Below are 20,807 nucleotides of genomic sequence, written 5' to 3'. Positions count from 1 at the left end.
AAGGCTAGCCTGGGAAACATAGCAAGACCCTGTCTCTAAAAAAATAAAAAATTAGCTGGGTTTGGTAGTGCATGCCTGTAGTCCCAGGGACTTGGGAGGCTGAGGTGAGAGAATCGCTTTAGCCTGGGAAGTCATGGCTGCAGTGAGCTGTGATCACGCCACTGCACTCCAGCCTGGGCAACAGAGCAAGACCCTGTCTAGGAAAAAAAAAAAAAAGAAAGTAGACCCAAAAGATTTGCAGATGCTTTGCATGCAGTGTGTAAGAGAAAGAGAGGAGTCAAGGATGACTCCAGGATTTTTGTTACGTGAACTTTAAGAATGGAGTTGTTATTTATTGAGTTGGCAAAGACTGCGGGAGAAACCAGTTTGGTGGGAGAGTGCGAAATTGGGAATTTGGTCTTGCACGTGTTAGGTTTATTTTTTTCTTTGAAAACAATTTTTAATGTTTTAAAAATAAATAGACAGATGGGGTCTCACTAAGTTGCCCAGGCTGGTCTCAAACTCCTGGGCTCAAGCGATCCTCCCGTCTTGACCTCCCAAAGTGTTGGGATTATAGGCATGACCCACTGCACCTGGCTTTGCACATGTTAAGTTTGAGGTGTTAGTTAGATATCCAAATGGAAACATCAAGTAGGCAGTTGCATATGTTGGTTTTGAGTTTAGGGATGAGATTGAGATGAAGATAAAAATGCTGGAGTCAGTCAGGCGTGTTGGCTCACGCCTGTAATCCCAACACTTTGGGAGGCCAAGGTGGGTGGATCACCTGAGGTTGGGAGTGTGAGCCCAGCCTGGCCAACATGGCGAAATCCTGTCTCTACTAAAAATACAAAAAATTAGCCAGGTGTGGTGGTGGGCGCATGTAATCCCAGGTACTCAGGAGGCTGAGGCAGGAGAATCACTTGAACCTGGGAGGTAGAGGTTGCAGTGAGCCGAGATTGCACCACTGCACTCCAGCCTGGGCGACAGAGTGAGACTGTCTCAAAAAAAAAAAAAAAAAAAAAAAAGCTGGAGTCTTCAATGTGGAAACAGAATTTGGACTTAAGAAACGGGATGAGATACCTGGGAAGGCGTTGTATAGTTTGTCTCCGACTGGAGCGGGTGAGTTCTTTGAGAGGAGAGGCTCAGTTTTATTTTGTGTTTCTGCGTTTCTTTTTCTTTTCTTTTCTTTTTTTTTTTTTTTTTTTTTTTTTTAGACAGAGTCTCTGTTGCCCAGGTTGGGGTGCAGTTGTGCCATCTCAGCTCACTGCAACTTCTGCCTCCTCAGTTCAAGCAATTCTCCGGCCTCAGCCCCTGAGTAGCTGGGGATTATAGGCACCCACCACTACACCTGGCTAATTTTTTTGTATTTTTAGTAGTGATGGGGTTTCATCATGTTGGTCAGGCTGGTCTCAAACTCCTGACCCCAGGTGATCTGCCCACCTTGGCCTCCCAAAGTGCTGGGATTACAGGCATGAGCCACAGTGCCCGGCCTATTTTGTGTGTTTCTGATACCCCCTAGCACAGTTCCTCACACATAGGTAGGTGCTCAATGAGTGCTTATTACACTGAGCAGGGACTTTGTGATGCAAATGACTGTATCCCCAATACCTAGCACAGAGTGGTACCCAGCAAATATTTGACAAATAAATGTGTATTTGAATAAAGTGGAAAAATGTTAACTGCCATGGGAAATGTCAGAGACGGGTATTCCAGATTATGATTTCTCTCAAGAGCATTCACCCGGTCACCATCACAGGATTTATTCCGCCTGCTTTATATTACATTTTTTTTTTTTTTTTTTTTTTTTGAGACAGAATCTCGCTCTGTCGCCCAGGCTGGAGTGCAGTGGCGCATTCTCGGCTCACTGCAAGCTCCGCCTCCAGGGTTCACACCATTCTCCTGCCTCAGCCTCCCAAGTAGCTGGGACTACAGGCATGTGCCACCACACCCGGCTAATTTTTTTGTATTTTTAGTAGTGATGGGGTTTCACTGTGTTAGCCAGGATGGTCTCAATCTCCTGACCTCGTGATCCACCCACCTCAGCCTCCCAAAGTGCTGGGATTACAGGCGTGAGCCACCACGCCCGGTGCTTTACATTAAATTTAAACATACTTGAGCACCAGATTTTTTGATTTTCTCTACAGTCGTCATATGAGTGAAGGTGGTAATATGGGACACTGCATTTTCTAAAACTGGCCAAGCAAGAGAACCATCTGTTGAGCTTTTGGCATTTTCAGAATATTAGGCATCACTCCAAAACCTACTGAATCAGAATCTCAGGGGTTGTGCCCTGGAGAATTATTTTTTAAAAGCTCACTAGGTGCTTCTGATTTAGCTCGTTCTCTGATGGCATTTGGATAATCAGTCCTAAGGCCCCAGGCCCTGCTCTGTCATTGACTGTCATTTTGAGTGAGTCATTTGATCTCTGGGTCTTTTTCCCACTTATAAAAAATGAGGGTGAGAGCTGGGTGCCTAGATTTGTTTGTAATATTTAATCTCATTTTGATGCATGCAGGGTCTGTGCTAATAGCCTCCCTTTTATTCCTGATGCTGGTCATTTGCATCCTCTCTCTTTGCTTTTTTTTTTTCTTTGATTAGTCTGGCTAGGGATTTCTTATTTTTAATTGATCTTTTCGAAGAGCCAACATTTGGTTTAATTGATTTTTTAAATGTTTCTATTTTAACTTCACTGATTTCTACTCTTACATTTTTTTTTTTTTAATTTTTATTTTTTGAGATGGAGTCTTGCTCTGTCACCCAGGCTGGAGTGCAGTGGCACAATCTTGGCTCACTGCAACCTCCACCTCCTGGGTTCAAGCGATTCTCCTACCTCAGCTTGGGAGTAACTAGGATTATAGGCACATGCAATCACGCCTGGCTAATTTTTGTATTTTTAGTAGAGATGGAGGTTTACCATGTTGGCCAGGCTGGTGTTGAACTCCTGGCCTTAAGAGATCTGCCCACCTCAGCCTCCCAAAGTGTTGGGACTAGAGGTGTGAGCCACCCCTCCCAGCCTGCTCTTATATTAATTCTATTTCCTTCTTTCTGCTTGTTTTGTGGTTATTTTGCTCTTCTTTTTCTAGTTTCTTAAAATGGAAGCTCAGATTCTTAAGATTTTTTTTTTTTTATTGCTTCTTCTCTAAGCATTTAGGGCTATGAATTTACCTAAAGTTTACTTTGGCTGCATCTCACAGGATTTGACGTTTTTTTTTTAAGAGATGGCATCTCCCTTTGTTGCCCAGGTCAGACTGCAGTGGTGCAATCACAGCTCATTGAAGCCTCAAACTCCTGGGCTCCAGGAATCCTCCCACCACAGTCTCTCAAATACTTGGGACTACAGGTATGCACCACCATGCCCAGCTGACAGGTTTTTATATGTTTTATTTTTTTTAATTGAGGCGAAAGTCACACACCTTTTTTTTTTTTTTTTTTTTTTTTTTTTTGAGACAGGGTGTCACTCTGTTGCCTGTGCTGGAGTGCAGTGGTGTGAGTATAGCTCTCTGCAGCCTTGAATTCCTGGGCTCAAGCAATCCTCCCACCTCATCCTGAGTAGCTAGGACTCAGGCTAATTTTTTTTTTTTTTTTTGAGATGGAGTCTTGCTCTGTGGCCCAGGCTGGAGTGCAGTGGCACAATCTTGGCTCACTGCAACCTCCACCTCCCAGGTACAAGCGACTCTCCTGCCTCAGCCTCCAGAGTAGCTGGGATTACAAGTGCCTGCCACCATGCCCGGCTAATTTTTGTCTTTTCAGTAGAGACGGGGTTTCACCATCTTGGCCAGGCTGGTCTCGAACTCCTGACCGCATGATCCACCCGCCTCAGCCTCCCAAAGTGCTGGGATTACAGGTGTGAGCCACTGTGCCAGGCCGGACTCAGGCTACTTTTTTATTTTTTTTTTTGTAGAGATGGGATCTCACTGTGTTGCCAGACTGGTCTTGAACTCCAGGTCTCAAGCGATCCTCCTACCTCAGCCTCCCAAGGTGCTGGGATTATAGGCATGAGCCACCACACCCAGTCCACATACCATTTTAAAGTGTTACAATTCAGGCTGGGCACGGTGGCTCACGCTTATAATCCCAGCACTTTGGGAGGCCAAGGCGAGCAGATCACCTGAGGTCAGGAGTTCAAGACCAGTCTGGCCAACATGGTGAAACCCCAATCTCTACTAAAAATACAAAAATAGCCGGGCATGGTGGCGCATGCCTGTAATCCCAGCTACTTGGGAGGCTGAGGCAGGAGAATTGCTTGAACCCGGTAGGCAGAGGTTTCAATGAGCTGAGATCACGCCATTGCACCCCAGCTTAGACAACAAGAGTGAAACTCCATCCAAAAAAAAAAAAAAGAACTGTAGACAGGATAGTTTCATCTACCTGTCTTCATGTGTTCAATGACTCTCTCTTCCATCTGCTCTAATGAATTCGAAATAGTCTGGTGAATTTTTCATTTCCATTTCTATACTTTTTTTTTTTTTTTTTTTTTTTTTTGAGATGGAGTTTCGTTCTTGTCACCCAGACTGGAGTGCAATGGTGCGATCTTGGCTCACTGCAACCTCTGTCTCCTGGGTTCAAGCAATTCTCCTGTCTCAGCCTCTCGAGTAGCTGGGATTACAGGTGCCCGCCACCATGCCTGGCTAATTTTTGTATACTTTTCAGCTTCAGACTTTGATTCCTTTCAATAATTTCTATTTTTTTCCTTTCTTTTTTTCTCTAAGCTTTAGTTTGTCTATAATAAATTCTTTTATTGAGACAGGGTCTCACTCTGTCACCCAGGCTGGAGTGCAGTGGTGCAATCTTGGCTCACTGCAGCCTTGACTTCTCATGCTCAGGCAATTCTCCCACCTCAGCCTCCCAAGTGGCTGGGACTACAGGCGCATGCCACCACACTTGGCTGATTGTTTGCATTTTTTGTAGAGAGGGGGTTTCGCCATGTTGCTGAGGCTGGTCTTCAAATCCTGGCCCCAGGTGATCTGCCCGCCTCAGCCTCCCAAAGTGCTGGAATTACAGGCATGAGCCACTGCCCCTCACCTGTCTATAATATTTTCTATTTCTTTATTGATGTTCTGCATTTGTTGAGACATTGTTCTCCTTGTATCCTTTAACTCTTTATTCATCGTTTCTTTTAGCTTTTTGAGCAGATTTCAGACAGCTGATTTAAAGTCTTTGTCTAGTACTTTCAATGTCTGTGCTTCCTTAAAGACAATTTGTTTCTTTTGTGAATGGGCTGTACTCTCTTAATGTCACTGCATGGTTTGTAATTTTTTTTTGAAAATTGGAGTCAGGCACAGTGACTCACACCTCTAATCCCTTTTCCCCAAAAAAAGAAAAAGTAAAATTAAAAAGAAAAAAAGAGTCCAGGCGTGGTGCCTCACGCCTGTAATCCCAGCACTTTTGGGAGGCCGAGGTGGGCAGATTGCCTGAGGTCAGAAGTTCAGGACCAGTCTGGCCAACATGGTGAAATCCCATCTCTACTAAAAATCCAAAAACAGTCAGACATGGTAGCATGCCCCTATAATCCCAGCTACTCAGGAGGTTGAGGCAGGGGAATTGCTTGAACCAGGGAGGTGGAGGTTGCAGTGAGCCGAGATCGCACCACTGCCCTCCAGTCTGGATGACAGAGCTAAGACTCCGTCTCAAAAAAGGAAATCAGACATTTTGAGTATTATAATGGGGTAACTGGAAATTATTTTATCCTCCCCACCACCCCTGGGTTTGCTTTTGCTGTGGGCTGTAGCTGTTTGTTCAGTGACTTTCTAAACATTTTTGCAAAGTGTGTCTTCTTTTACATGTGCGGTCTCTGAAAGTCTCTCTGCCGTTAGCTTGTGTTCAACTAGTGTTTTAACAGAGATTTCCTTGAATGCCAGATGCCAAAGGTAAAAAAAAAAAAAAAAAAAAGAAAAACCCAGCTCTTTCCATCTTTGTGGATTGCCACTGTGCTGGGGCACTGGAGCAGTCCTTCAGGGCTTAGCCAGTCTGTGTACAACTTTTTATTTATTTTTTTGAGGTGGAGTCTTGCCCTGTCGCCTAGGCTGAAGTACAATGGCACGATCTTGGCTCACTGCAGCCTCTGCCTCCCAGGTTCAAGTGATTCTCTGCCTGAGCATCCTGAGTAGCAGGGATTACAGGCTTGTGTCACCACACCTGGCTAATTTTCCACCACACCCGGCTTACTTTTGTATTTTTTAGTAGAGACGGGGTTTCACTATGTTGGCCAGGCTGGTCTCAAACTCCTGGCCTCAAGTGATCTACCCGCCTCAGCCTCCCAAAGTGCTGGGATTACAGGCGTGAGCCACCGCACCCGGCCCAGTCTGTGTACAGCTTTGCCCTAGGCTTTACTCCCTGCCTGCAGGGAGGATGGAGAGGAGCCACAGATGAAAGCTCAGCATCCTTTCTCAGGTCTATTCTGAGAATGTGCTCTGCACTCAGCATGTGCATGGCTACTGAAATTCCATAGTACACAAGGGCAGGTCTGAATTTCAGTACCCAAATTTCCCATAGAAACTCTCCACAGCTTCTTCTCCCATGCTGTCAGCACACCTATAGTTTGCCTCAACTGTAATCTTTTGCCTAGGCATCAGCAGGGTATGCATTTGATTTACAGTGTTTTCAAGGAATACCCTCTGTGTAGCCACTTTTCTGCCCTGTGTGAGTTCTGGGTTAGGTGAAACAAAGGCAGCTGCCCTGTATCAGTTCTTTTGGCAGCCCTCAGGCAGCTGAGAACGGGAAAACAAAATGCTTTGAGAATAAGGTCTGCTCTGCTGCCTTCAATACCAGAAACCACACTGGGAATGTGGGCTGCCATCTTCAAGGTTCCCACTGAACCATGGAAGGTTGTGGGGCAAGGGCAAGTAAAATAACCCAGTTTTCCTACCATTTTGAAGTTGCTTTTTTCTTGATTCAGTGTTCATTTGGAGTATTAGTCAGTTTTCACACTGCTGGAAAGAACTGCCTGAGCCTGGGTAATTTATAAAGAAAGGAGGTTTAATTGACTCACAGTTCCACTTGGCTGGGGAGGCCTCAGGAGACTTACAATCATGGTGGAAAGCTAACAAGAAGCAAGTACCCTCTTCACTGGCTGGCAGGAGAGAGGGGAGAGTGCAGGGGAAACTGCCACTTAAAAACCATCAGATCTCGTGAGAACTCCCTCACTATCACGAGAACAGCATAGGGCAAACCGCGCCCGTGATCCAGTCACCTTCCACCAGGTCCCTCCTTGACCCCTGGGGATTACAATTCAGGATGAGATGTGCTTGGGGACAAAGAGCCACATCAGATGATCTGGTTATTGTAAACCTTTGATTATTTTTCTACAGTTCTCATGAAGTTGATTCAGACAGTTTTGCTTGGTTTATCAATGTTTCTGTGGGGGGATGGGGACTTGGAGATACCTACTCTGCCATTTTTGCTGATACCAGTCAACATGTTATATTTTCACTTTTACATAATTCAATATGTTTTCCAGTTTCCCTTGCGACTCACTCTTTGACCCATGAATTATTTAGAAGTGTATTTAATTTCCATGTGTTTAGAGATTTTCTGGTTTCTTTTTAAAATTGATTTAGTTTAATTATTTTACAGTCACAGAACGTATTTTGTATGATTTCAGTTATTTTACATTTCTTAAGATTTGTTTTGGCCGGGCATGGTGGCTCACACCTGTAATCCCATCACTTTGGGAGGCCGAGGCAGGTAGATCACCTGAGGTCAGGAGTTTGAGACCAGCCTGGCCAACATGGCAAAACCCTGTCTGAAAAACACAAAAATTAGCCAGGCGTGGTGGTGCATGCCTGTAATCCCAGCTACTTGGAAGCTGAGGCAGGAAAATTGCTTGAACCCAGGAGGCGGAGGTTGCAGTAAGCCGATTGCACCTCTGCACTCCAGCCTGGGCGACAGAAAGAGACTCCATCTCAGAAAAACATTTGTTTTATGACCCAGGTTCTGGTAAATCTTGCTGAATCTTCCATGGGCAAAGAATGTGTACCCTGCTGTTAGTGTGTGAAGTCTCCTGTAAATGTCAGTTAGGTTCCATTGGTCGATGATGGTGTTCAGTTATTGTATTGTTTGCTGATTTTCTTTGCTGTTTTTTTCCTGTGAATGGTCTAAGCTTCCTATTTCCTGTTTCTTTGTATATTTTGTGGTTTTTTGTTGAGAACGTTGCATTTTAAGTGTTACAATGTAATGACCCTCAAAATGTGATTCTCTCAGTCACCTGGGATTGCTGGGTTTTGCTTGTTGAGGTCTGAAGCTCCCCTTTTGTTACTTTTCCAAACTATTTTTGCAAAGTGTTTCTTCCTTGTGCTTGTGTGGTCACTGAAATTTGTTTCATTATCTCTGCAGTCAGCCAGCCACCTAACATGGATTTCCTTAAATAGATGGCTTTAAATGGGGTGGGGCAGAGGAGGATTTTGTCTCTTTGATAAAATCTTCTGAAGGATGTCCCTGGGGAAGCCACTGTTGCTGAGAGGGCCAAATAAACCAAGGCAAGCATCCGGGCTGGTCCTCAGAGACCCATTGGACCCACCAAGGTGCAGAACCCATGGTTTTGGAGGACAGAGTTCCGCTGCTCGCCCTGGCATCAGCCAGCTGCTTCGGGAACTCAGGCTCAGGAATGGGGGAGTGTTGGCTGGTTGGCACATGCCACTCACTCGTGAAGATCAGCAGCCTCTCTCTTCATTGTTTAAGTATGTCTCTGGTTGTTAGGAGTTCCTGGTCATGTTTCAGAATTCCAAAAGAGCTGATTCCAATCACTCTTTCTAGCTCAGTGGTTGCTTTAGTGAAGGGACTGATCTCTACACTACAGCTTCCTACTCTGCCATCTTATGTGACTATTGATATTTATTTATTTATTGAGACAGAGTCTTACTCTGTTGGCTGGAGTGCAGTGGTGCAGTCACGGCCCACTGCAGCCTTGACCTCCTGGGCTTGAGTGATTCTCTCACCTCAGCCTCCCGAGTAGCTGGGACTATAGGTATGTGCCACCATGCCTGGCTAATCTTTTTTTTTCTTATTCTTTTTGTGGAGATGGGGTCTCGCTATCATGCCCAGGCTGGTCTCAAACTCCTGAGCTCAAGTGATTCCCTCCGCCTCGGCCCCCTAATGTGCTGGGATTATAGGCATAAGCTACCACACTTGGCCATGAGTCATTTTTAAAAAAACAGATTCCAACAACCTTTTTGATTGCTGTGTTTAGAAGATTTATATTTAATTTTGGACGGGTTTTTATTATCTATTTTCTACTTGTTCCCTCTGGGTTTTTTTATACCTGTTTCCCTTTTCTTGCCTTTTTATGGGGTACTTAGACATTTCTTAGTATGCCATTTAACTTCATATGCCATGCTAAATCAATTCAGTATGCCATTTAGTATATATTTTTGTATAGGATTTTATAGGTGGCTGTAGAGATTATATTATACATACTTATGATCATTGGCTAGTATCAACCTTTTGCCAATTCAAGTGGAATGTAGAAACTCTACTGCTTTCTAGGCCCCTCTGCCCTTCTTTATGGTATTGTTGTCTTGAATATCACCTCTACATTCATTGAGAACCACTGAGATAATGTTATGGTTTTGCTTTTGCCCATCAAATATAATTTTTAAACTCGAGATTATATTCACCCAGATATTTACCCTCTTACTGCTTTTTTAAATTTCTCTTTTTTAATTTAATTTTTATACTTTTTCTTCTGAAAAAAAATCTCTCTGGATTTTTCTTCATTTCTTTCTTTTTTTTTTTTTTTTTTTTTGAGACAGAGTCTCACTCCATCGCCCAGGCTGGAGTGCACTGGTGTGATCTCAGCTCACTGCAACCTCCACCTCCCTGGTTCAAGTGATTCTCCTGCCTCAGCCTCCCGAGTAGCTGGGATTGCAGGCATGCACCACCATGCCTGGCTAATTTTTATATTTTTAGTAGAGATGGGGTTTCACCATGTTGACCAGGCTGGTCTTGAGCTCCTGACCTCAAGTGATCCTCCTGCCTCAGCTTCCCAAAGTGCTGGGATTACAGGCATGAGCCACCGCGCCCGGCCTCTTCAGATGTTTTTTGGGCACTGCACTCTTTTTCCTCTCCTTCTGGGAATTCAGTGACATGAATGTTAGAGCTTTTGCTGTTGTCTCATTGTTCAGTTTTTTTTTCTATTTGTTTTCTCTCTGTTGGTCAAATGGGATTATTTCTACGTAATTTTTTTTCTTATGGCAAGATTGTCACGATACAGATTGAATCATTTCTGCTGCTCTATCATCAAGGTCACTAATTTTTTTCTCTGTTGTATCTCCATTCTGCTATTGAGTTCACCCATTGAGTTTTTTACTTAGTTATTGTAATTTCTAGTTCTAAAATTACAATGTAGTTCTTCCGTATATCTTCAATGAGACGTTATATTTTTCAGTGTGTTTCGAGAGTGTTCATAATTACTTCTTGGGCCATTTATAAGATAGCTCATCTAAAATCCCTATGCAATAATTCCAATATCTTTGTCATCTTAGTGTTAATTGTCTTTCCTCATTCAGATTTTTTCTGGTTTTTAGTATGAGGAGTAATTTTTCTGGGTTCGGATTTTTCTGGTTCTTAGTATGAGGAGTAAGTTTTAATTTTATCCTGGACACTTTGAGTGTTATGTTATGAGACTGTAGTTCCTGTTTAAATATTCTGTATTAGCAGGCACTCAACCTGTTTAGATTCAGGATGCACTTTCTGTGGCCAGCAGGGCTCTGGTTCTAAGATCAATTTAGTTTTCAAAGCTTTTGCAGAGCTCCTCTGGCCTCCCCCACCTTTGTGCAACCCAGAGGCCAATTTGTTTTTGTTTTTGTTGTTGTTTGGAGACAGGGTCTTGCTCTGTTGCCCTGGCTGGAGTGCAATGGCCCAGTCATAGCTCACTGCAGCTGTAATCTCCCAGACTCAATCACTCCTCCTCCTCAGCCTCTTGAGTAGCTGGGACCAGAGGTACACACTACCACGCCCAGCTGATTTTTTATATTTAGTAGAGACAAGGTCTCACTCTGTTGCCCAGGCTGATCTTGAACTCCTGGGCTCAAGTGTTCCTCCCATCTCGGCCTCCCACAGTGTTGGGATTACAGGCATGAGCCACCGCACCCAGCCCTGGAGGCCAGTTTGAAACCTCAGAGTATTCCACATTGCCGTTGAGCTCTCAGAGCTTTTGCTGTGTTGATCCTGGTTGTTTTCACACATGGGCACTTGGAGGGCATGGCCCAGGACTTCCTACACATATTTAACCCGTTTCCCATTTGGGAAAAAAAAAGTGCAGCTTGCTGCTAGTGCTCATTTAATTTTACATAAACACACTTTTGAGGCTGAAGTAAATCTGACTGATTTTCAATGCGAAAATAAAATATGAAAACTGGGTTTGGCCTTCTTCCAAGTGTACTTTCCTTCCCTTCCTTCCTTTCTTTACTGCTTTAAAGCTTTTTAATAAACTTTCACTCCTGTTCTAAAAGAAAAAATATATATATCAACTGTTCTTGGAGTTATTATTAAACAGAACTTGTCTTTAATCCGAATGTAACAGAAATGTACACGACGTTATATTAGGATTAGAGAGGAGTATTCTGCGGTGGGTGGGACGGGGAACGGGAAATGGGTTGGAGAGTCCTTGCTTCTAGCTCCTCACTGTCTTTGAGAGAGGATGGGGTGCCACCTTGTTACTGTGGTTCAGTCTTGTGCAGGTTGTGGATGGTCAGCAGGGCCCTTCCACACAGTCTTGCCAGTGCTTGGTGGAGAGGGGAGAGATGCCACCTCTGCTTGTGTTGGCCCAAGGTGGGGAGGGTCAACAGGTCTTTGTTCCACAGTGTCTACAGTATCTGGGGCAGGGGAAGGTGCAGCTTTTTTCAGGCTGTTTTCCTAGAGTAGGGTGTGTGTAGTCAAAAGGGCACTGTCCCGCAGGGCCGCCCTCTTCGCTGTCATTTGGCTCGAAAGATGAGGCTCCTTTTGTGGGGGTTGGGGGATGAAGGGGGCACTGGGATTTCCTGGTTGTAGACTCCGCTCTAACAGATAAGACAGGGTATATAGGAGGCCAAAGAACAAACCATCAAACCACCCTGGGAACTCACCACTGGGTCAGCCCTTCTCTTCTCTACCTTTCCAGAATTTGTTGGTTTGATTGATTGGATCGTTGCTTCATGTATTTATTTATTTATTTATTTATTTATTTATTTATTTATTTATTTATTTATTTATTTTTAATTGAAATAGTCTGGCTCTGTTGCCCAGGCTGGAGTGCAGTGGTGCAATCTTAGCTCAATACAGTCTCCACCTCCTGGGTTCAAGCAGTTCTCCTGCCTCAGCCTCCTGAGTAGCTGGGATTACAGGCGCCTGCCACCATGCCCAGCTCATGTTTGTATTAGCAGTAGAGGTCGGGTTTCACCATGTTGGCCAGGCTGGTCTCAAACTCCTGACCTCAGGTGATTCACCTGCCTCGGCCTCCCAGAGTGCTGGGATTACAGGCATGAGCCACTGTGCCCAGCTGCTTCATGTATTTTGAACAGGGGTTTTAGTTGTAATTAGAAGAGAAATGTAATGGGTGTGCTTATTCCATCTCCTATGGAACTGGAAACAACATTTGGCATTGAAAATTGTTGTCTTGATAACTTTTAGGGTGTTACTTCTCATTTTAGCGGCAATACATTTTGCTTCCGTGTGATGAAACATCCTACCCATTTGCATGTTGATTGTGTCTCATGTCCCATCTCGCAACAGGCAGTAAAACCCCATTTCCAGCCCAAAGCACCTTGCTAAAGAGCCTGCACCGCAGCCACTGTGCCTTTGCGCTCTGGCTCGTGCGACCTCTCCAGATCTTCTTCCTCATTTCGTCTGTTCACTGGGGCCCTCTTCTCCCTGTGACTCGCCTCAGCCTTTTCACTCCTTGCTGGACATGGAGTAGGACTATTGGGAGGATGAAATAGACGAATGTGTGGCAAGCATGTAGGAGAGCCTGTGGCACAGAAGCAGCACTCGGTACATGGTGCTTGTTGTTATATCCCTAGTTTTGACATAGCCTCAGCCTCAAGTAAAAGATAACCCAAACTCCCACCAAAGTACAAGAGTCAGATTCCTGTTCACTTCTGTTTATAAATGAACTTTCTATTTTTTTAAGAGCAGGGTTGTACTCTGTCACCCAGGCTGGAGTGCAGTGGAGCGATCATACCTCACTGCAGCGTTGACTTCCTGGGTTCAAGGGATCCTCCTGCCTCAGCCTCCTGAGTAGCTGGGACTACAGGTTCACGCCACCATGCCCAGCTAGTTGTTGTTGTTGTTTTGGTACAGACGAGATCTCTGCTATGTTGCCCAGGCTAATCTTGAACTCTTGGGCTCAAGCTGTCCTCCCTCTTTGGCCTCCCAAAGTGCTGGGAGTACAGGCATGAGCCACTGCGCCTGGCCTGGATGAAGTTTTTCCTCATGCAGTACTCTGCACACCTTTAGTGAGTGCTCGCCATGCACCATATCCTATGTGAGGGATCAAAAGATAGGCGAGATACAGCCCATGTCTTCAAAGAGCCCACAGGCCAGAGTGGGAGAAATAGACACACAGCACAGTGCAGTAAACTGATAGGAATGCAATGAAAATAGACACGGTAGATACGCAGCACAGTGCAGTAAACTGATAGGAATGTAATGAAAATAGACACGGGCGAGCGGGGACCCCAAAGGGAGGGTGGCCATATGTTTGGGGCTGAGGACAGGTTCCCAGAGGTGGTGACAGTTGGGCTGAATCTTAAAAGATAAGTGGGTTTTCTGGCCCGGTGCGGTGGCTCGCACCTGTAATCCCAGCACTTTGGGAGGCCAAAGCGGGCGGATCATGAAGTCAGGAGATCGAGACCATCCTGGCCAACATGGTGAAACCCCATCTCCACTAAAATACACACACAAAATTAGCCGGGCATGGTGGTGCATGCCTGTAGTCCCAGCTACTTGGGAGACTGAGGCAGGGGAATCGCTTGAACCTGGGAGGCAGAAGTTGCAGTGAGCCGAGATCGCGCCACTGTACTCCAGCCTGGCGACAGAGCGAGACTCCATCTCAAAAAAAGATCTAAGTGAGTTTTCCCAAGGTGCGTCAAGGCATTTCCCGCAGAAGCAGAATGAGCAAAACTTGAGAGCCACAGACCAGCACGGCGGGTAATTCAGTGTCCGTGTCATCAGTGGTACATGCCTACAGCCGTGTTGAAATTGTGTCTGGAGAAGCACATGAACCAGACTCTCCCTGATTTACAAGGCTCTTCGTCATCGGGTCCCTACTTAACTCTAATTTCATCTCTTGTCTTATCTATAATTTAGTCTGATATCATACATTAATTATATACACTGTACATTGATACACAGCATTTATTTGAAAGACAGACCTCTTGGATGTGACTATGGAGACAAGACCAGCAGCTCGAGACCATTCAATCCAAGGTATAAAATGGAGGAAAATCAGCTCCATCATGGTCTGAATTGAGGATGAGGCAGAAGAGCAGAGAATAGCTGATGCCCAGGTGGCAGCAACTTCACTCTTTCCCTGTGGAGTTGCAGGGTCTCCCCACCTCCACTGCGTCGGGACATGCCGTGTGCCATCTCTTTATCCATAGCTGCCTCCGGCATCAGCAGAGAAAGTCATGGGCAGATGGAGCTTTGGATTAGTTCTTTTTTCCAGTCTTCCTTTACTTTATCTGGATAAGATTGGGCAGATTGAATTTGATCTTCTATACTGGGGCCAGGGAGCAGAGTGGATCTAGACCATGCAGCTTTTCCCTACTGTCACCAGATTGGGAGCAGGGATTGGCTGCCATTGTCCTCTCCAGCCTCTGTGTTCCTGGGACACCGCTGACTGGAGGCTGCTCCTCTTCTAAGGGGGTCCGGCACAGAGCGCCACCCAGAGCACATGGCACCTTCTCTCTCCTCCTGCACCAGTCTCCTTGCCCTCTGTATTGTCATCATACTGAAGCAAACCATCCAACTCACCAGCCTCTCTCTGGAATCCAGTCTCATTGATTCCTCTCCCTGAGACTCTTCCTCAGTCTCCTTTTAGCCCCTCACATCCTCAGCCGAAGATCTCACTTCGTCCCAGAGGCCTTTGCTGACTGACCCCTCAGGTAGGCTAAATCCCCATCCTGCGCTTCCATGACAGCCTGTGGCAGATGCTATTTTCTGCAGGTGGCCACAGCCCTATCTCCCATCCCACACACTCCTCTCATAACATGACCTTGTCACTTCTTCCATCGCGTGGTCGGGGGTATGTCTCTTTTCCTTGAGCCTGTGCACATCTTTGTGATTGCCCTGACCAATAAATAAAGTAGGACAGAAGCGACGCTATGAGATAGCCAGGCTGCACTGTAAAAATGTCATGCCTTTCTGCTGTGTTGTCATGGAATGCTTGCCCTTAGAAGTAAGCTGCCGGACTGTGATGAAGCCCAAACCAGCCCAAATGGGGAGACTGCGAGGGGCCACATGGACAGGTTCCAGCCCACAGGTCAGTTGAAGTCCTGGCTGACAGCCAGTATCAGCTCCTGGTTTTGTGAATGAAGATGCCTCTAAATGATTCCAGCCCCCTCCCATTGATCACACTTAAGACTCCATGTCTTCCCAGCTGAGGCCCCACATGTCGTGTGGACCAGAGACAAGCCAGGCCTGTTGGAATCACAGAATCCCTGATGATAATGATTGTTTTTTGCCACTATGTTTTAGATTGGTTTCTTATGCAATTAGTAACTGAAACACTTTACTTCTTTATACTCATTAAGGAATGAGACTGTGTCTTTTTTTTTTTTTTTTGAGTCCGAGTTTTGCTCTTGTTGCCCAGGCTGGAGTGCGATGGCATGATCTCGGCTCACCACAACCTCTGCCTCCCAGGTTCAAGCGATTCTCCTGCCTCAGCCTCCCAAGCAGCTGAGATTACAGGCATGCGCCACTATGCCCAGCTAATTTTGTATTTTTAGCAGAGTTGGGGTTTCTCCATGTTGGTTAGGCTGGTCTCAAACTCCGGACCTCAGGTGATCCGCCTGCCTCAGCCTCCCAAAGTGCTGAGATTATAGGCGTGAACCACCACGCCTGGCCTGTATCTTTTTTTTTTTTTTTTTTTAACTTTTTGTAGAGATAGGGTCTCTCTGTATTGCTGAGGATGGTCTTGAACTTCTGGCCTCAAGCGATCCTCCTACCTCAGCCTCCCAAAGTGCTGGGAGCACAGGTGTGAGCCACCATGCCTGGCCTGACACTGTCTCCAGTGTTTATTGGTGTTTCCTGTGTTGCACAAAGCAGGTGGTGGTGCACCGTCAATAGTGAGTTTGTGAGTAGAAGGTGTGGGTGTCATACAGTTGGTGTCTGTGCGCCTGGAAGCACACACCTGTTTCTGCTTCCAGAGTTGTCTCTGGCCTGCAGTTCTGTGCTTCCTAGCTTGATCCGTTCCTCTCCAGGAATCTCCTCTCCCTCCCCACCCTGACCCACCTGTTGGTGAGAGATGCAACTGACTGTTTCTGCCACACTTTTTACTTACAGGTGGTACCTGTATTATTCCCTCCACCTCTTCAGGGAAGAGGGTGAAGAGATGAGAGGCTAGGGGTTCCAAACACAAACTTGACCCATTTTACCATTTTGTTAGCAACAGTCTTGAGAGAATCAATACAAACTTTAGGTAGCTTGGTACTTTGCCCTTCAGGACAGTTCTTCCCTGGTAATGTTAGATTGTTGGGGTTAACCATTACTGTGCCATTACAGATGAGCTTCGGCTGCCCTCTAGTGGCAGCAGCAACCTGGATCTCGAACAAAGATCATTCTAGCATTGGGACCAGCTTTGTGTCATGAATACGTCATCAGTGCCTACCATATTAACTGACATCTATTCGGAGCTAATAACTAACTAATATTGATTAACAAACTAGCCAACATGCACTGTTTTTTTGTTTGTTTTTGAGATGAGTCTCACTCGCCTAGGCAAGTGGCGCGATCTCGGCTCCTCCTCTGCCTCCCACCTCCCAGGTTCAAGTGATTCTTCTGCCTCATCCTCCCTAGTAGCTGGGATTACAGGTGTGCACCACTACACCCAGCTAAATTTTTTGTATTTTTAGTAGAGATGGGATTTCCCCATGTTGGCCAGGCTGGTCTTGAACTCCTGACCTCAGGTGATCCGCCTGCCTTGGCCTCCCAAAGCACTGGGATTACAGGTGTGAGCCACTGCACCCAGCCTTTTTGTTTTTTGAGGCGGAGTCTCACTCTGTCACCCAGGCTGGAATGCAGCAGCGCGATCTCGGCCTACTACAACCTCCTCCTCCTGGGTTCAAGAGATTCTCCTGCCTCAGCCTCCCAAGTAGCTGAGATTATAGGTGCCCACCACCATGCCAGGCTAATTTTTATATTTTTAGTAGAGTAATTCAGTAATTTTTGTATTTTTAGTCTTGAACTCCTGAGCTCAGGTGATCCACCTGCCTTGGCCTCCCAAAGTGCTGTGATTACAGACGTGAGCCATCGTGCCTGGCGCTTTGCCCACTTTTTGATGGGGTTAATTGGTTTTTTCTGGTAAATTTGTTTAAGTTCCTTGTCGTTTCTGGATCTACAAGAATATACAAGATTCTGGATCTGACCTTTGTCAGATGGGTAGATTGCAAAAATTTTCTCTCGTTCTGTAGGCTGCCTGTTCACTTGGATGCTAGTTTCTTTTGCTATGCAGAAGCTCTTTAGTTTAATTAGATCCCATTTGTCAATTTTGGCTTTTGTTGCAATTGCTTTTGGTGTTCTAGTCATGAAGACTTTGCCCATGCCTATGTCCTGAATGGTATTGCGTAGGTTTTCTTCTAGGATTTTTATGGTTTTGGATTTTACATTTAAGTCTTTAATCCATCTTGAGTTAATTTTTTATAAGGTGTTAAGGAAGGGGTCCAGTTTCAGTTTTCTGTATATGGCTAGCCAGTCTTCCCAGCACCATTAAATAGAGAATCCTTTCCCCATTGCTTGTTTTTGTCAGGTTTGTCGAAGATCAGATGGTTGTAGATGTGTGGTGTTATTTCTGAGGTCTCTGTTCTGTTCCATTGCTATATATCTGTTTTGGTACCAGTACCATGCTGTTTTGGTTACAGTAGCCTTGTAGTGTAGTTTGAAGTCAGGTAGCGTTATGCCTCCACCTTTGTTCTTTTTGCTTAGTATCGTCTTGGCTATATGGGCTCGTTTTTGGTTTCATATGAAATTTAAGGTAGTTTTTTCTAATTCTGTGAAGACAGTCAGTAGCTTGTTGGGAATAGCATTGAATCTGTAAATTACTTTGGGTAGTATAGCCATTTTCACAATACTGATTCTTCCTATCCATGAGCATGGAATGTGTTTCCATTTGTTTGTGTACTCTCTTATTTCCTTGAGCAGTGGTTTGTAGTTCTCCTTGAAGAGGTCCTTCACGATTTATAGAGTTTTTAAAAAGTCTTTGTCTGCTAAGTCCAATATCTGGGCTTCCTAAGGGCTGATTTCCATCAATTTATTTTGTTACTTTGAATACGTTCCCTTGTCTTTGCATGATTTGTGATTGTCATTGAAACACGGACATTTGAATATTGCAAGGTAGTAACTCTGGCATTTAGATGATTCTTCTCATTTTATTTGCTATGTATTTGTGAGTGTGTCTGTTTTTAATCATTGAAGGCTGTAGTAGTACATACGTTTAGTGACTTCCAAACTATTTGTGCAAAGATTTATCATTTTCATGTGTGGTCACTGAAGTCTCTGATTCTTTTAGCATGTGTTCAGCTCACATTTTGATAAGAGATTTCCTTGAATACTAGGAGCTAAAAATGGAAGAAAGTACCTCTCCCAGTCTTTGAAGTTTGCCTTTGCACCACAGCTTTCCTTCAGCACTTAGCTAGGCCTGCACTGACCCTCGTGATCAGGCCAAGGTGAAAACTTAGGTCTTTGTCAGGTGTTTCTGAGCAAGCATCCTGCCCTGGGCAAAGCCCGTGTAACAACTGAGTGCTTGTGACTGCCCTGCTTTCCTAGAGGAATTCTCCCCAGCTTTCCTGCTTTCTCAGAGGAATTCTCCCCAGCTTTCCTGCTTTCTCAGAGGAATTCTCCCCAGCTTTCCTGCTTTCTCAGAGGAATTCTCCCCAGCTTTCCTTCTCGGATTTAGGAAGTCTCTATTAGTTTGCTCGGGCTACCATAGCAAAATGCCACAGACCATGGCTTCAACAGCTGGAAGTTATTTTCTCACAGTTCTAGAAGCCAGAAGTCAAAGATCAAGGTGCCAGCAGGGCTGACTTCTTCAGAGTGTTCTCTCATTGGCTTGCAGATAGCTGCCTTCTTGCTGTGTCTTCATGTGACCTTTTCTCTGCACGTCTCTGGCATTTCTGCTTGTTTCTTTTGTGTTTTTTTGAGATGGAGTCATGCTCTGTCTCCAGGCTAGAGTGCAGTGGCACGATCTCGGCTCACTCAACCTCCACCTCCTGGGTTCAAGCGATTCTCCTGCCTCAGCCTTCCTAATAGCTGGGATTACAGGCACCTGCCACCACGCCTGGCTAATTTTTGTATTTTTAGTAGAGACGGGCCTGGCCATGTTGGCCAGGCTGGTCTCGAACTCCTAACTTCAGGCGATCTGCCTGCCTCAGCCTCCCAAAGTGCTGGGATTATAGGCATGAGCCACCGTGCCTGGCCATCCCTGGCATTTCTTCCTGTTCTTTAAGGACACCAGAGAATGGAACTCAGCTCTTTCCCCTACTGTTGCCGGGCATGGTAGCTCACACCTGTAATCCCAGCACTTTGGGAGGCTGCGGGTGGGTGGAACACGAGGTCAGGAGATCGAGACCATCCTGGCTAACACGGTGAAACCCTGTCTCTATTAAAAAATACAAAAAAATTAGCCAGGCGTGGCAGCGGGCGCCTATAGTCTCAGCTACTCGGGAGGCTGAGGCAGGAGAATGGCATGAACCCGGGAGGTGGAGCTTGCAGTGAGCCGAGATTGTGCCACTGCACTCCAGCCTGGGTGACAGAGTGAGACTCAGTCTCAAAAAAAAAAAAAAAAGAGAGAGAACAGTGGAGTGTTGTGAGTCTCAACTGTCAGGTTTTGCCCCAGTCCTGTGTAGATTGTTTGCCTTGCAATGTTTTTGAGCAATGCTCACCACTTTTCCAGCCTCAGTGAGTTTCCAGCAAATAGACAGGCGTCTACATCATTCCCTCAGTAGCCCTCAGACGTGCGATAGCAGATTTACCAGTAATTTGAAGGTAAGGTCCGCCCCGTCCCTGTGGAATGCCAAGAGGCCCCACACTGCGAATGCAGCCTTCTGTCTTCAAGACTCCCGTAGAAGCCAGGTGCGGTGGCTCACGCCTGCAGTCCCAGCTGCTTGGAAGGCTGAGGTGAGAGAATCACTTGAGCCCAGGAGTTCAAGGGTAGAGTGAGCCACAATCACACCACTGCATTCCAGCCTGGGCAACAGAGCAAGATCCTGTCTCTTAAAAAACATTGCCACAAAGGTTTTCTACCTTTCCTTTTTAAGTTGCCTTTTTCTTGATTCAGCATTCATTTGGTTGTTGTAAGGCTTTGGCTGTTTTTCAGAGTTGTTTCTAATAATTATTTGGTTTTTTTTTTTTGAGACAGAGTTTCACTCTTGTTGCCCAGGCTGGAGTGCAGTGGCGCCATCTCGGCTCACTGCAACCTCCGCCTCCCCGTTCAAGCGATTCTCCTGCCTCACCCTCCCGAGTAGCTGGGATTACAGGCATGTGCCACCACACTTGGCTAATTTTGTATTTTTAGTAGAGATGGGGTTTCACCATGTTGGTCAGTCTGGTCTCAAACTCCTGACCTCAGGTGATCCACCTGCCTCGGCCTCCCAAAGTGCTGGGATTATAGGTGTGAACCACTGCGCCTGGCCTTTTTTTTT

The 20,807-nt window shown here is 45.6% G+C and overlaps 1 protein-coding gene across 3 annotated transcripts in view, besides 1 other annotated feature; it reads left to right on the top strand.

The window, feature by feature from the left end:
• POM121C (POM121 transmembrane nucleoporin C) overlaps nt 1-20,807 on the top strand; it is a 69,514-nt gene that overhangs the window by 16,982 nt on the left and 31,725 nt on the right. The window lies entirely within an intron of this gene.
• Nucleotides 14,891-15,392: an enhancer, noted in NCBI's record as "H3K27ac hESC enhancer chr7:75083199-75083700 (GRCh37/hg19 assembly coordinates)". NCBI's record gives its function as "activates a minimal SCP1, AML or CMV promoter by ChIP-STARR-seq in naive H9 embryonic stem cells {active_cell/tissue: H9 hESC(naive)}" and the evidence as "EXISTENCE:reporter gene assay evidence [ECO:0000049][PMID:30033119]".

The sequence above is a fragment of the Homo sapiens genome, chromosome 7 (assembly GCF_000001405.40).
Source record: "Homo sapiens chromosome 7, GRCh38.p14 Primary Assembly".
Taxonomy (NCBI): domain Eukaryota; kingdom Metazoa; phylum Chordata; class Mammalia; order Primates; family Hominidae; genus Homo; species Homo sapiens.
This window is presented reverse-complemented; position numbering and strand designations above follow the sequence as displayed.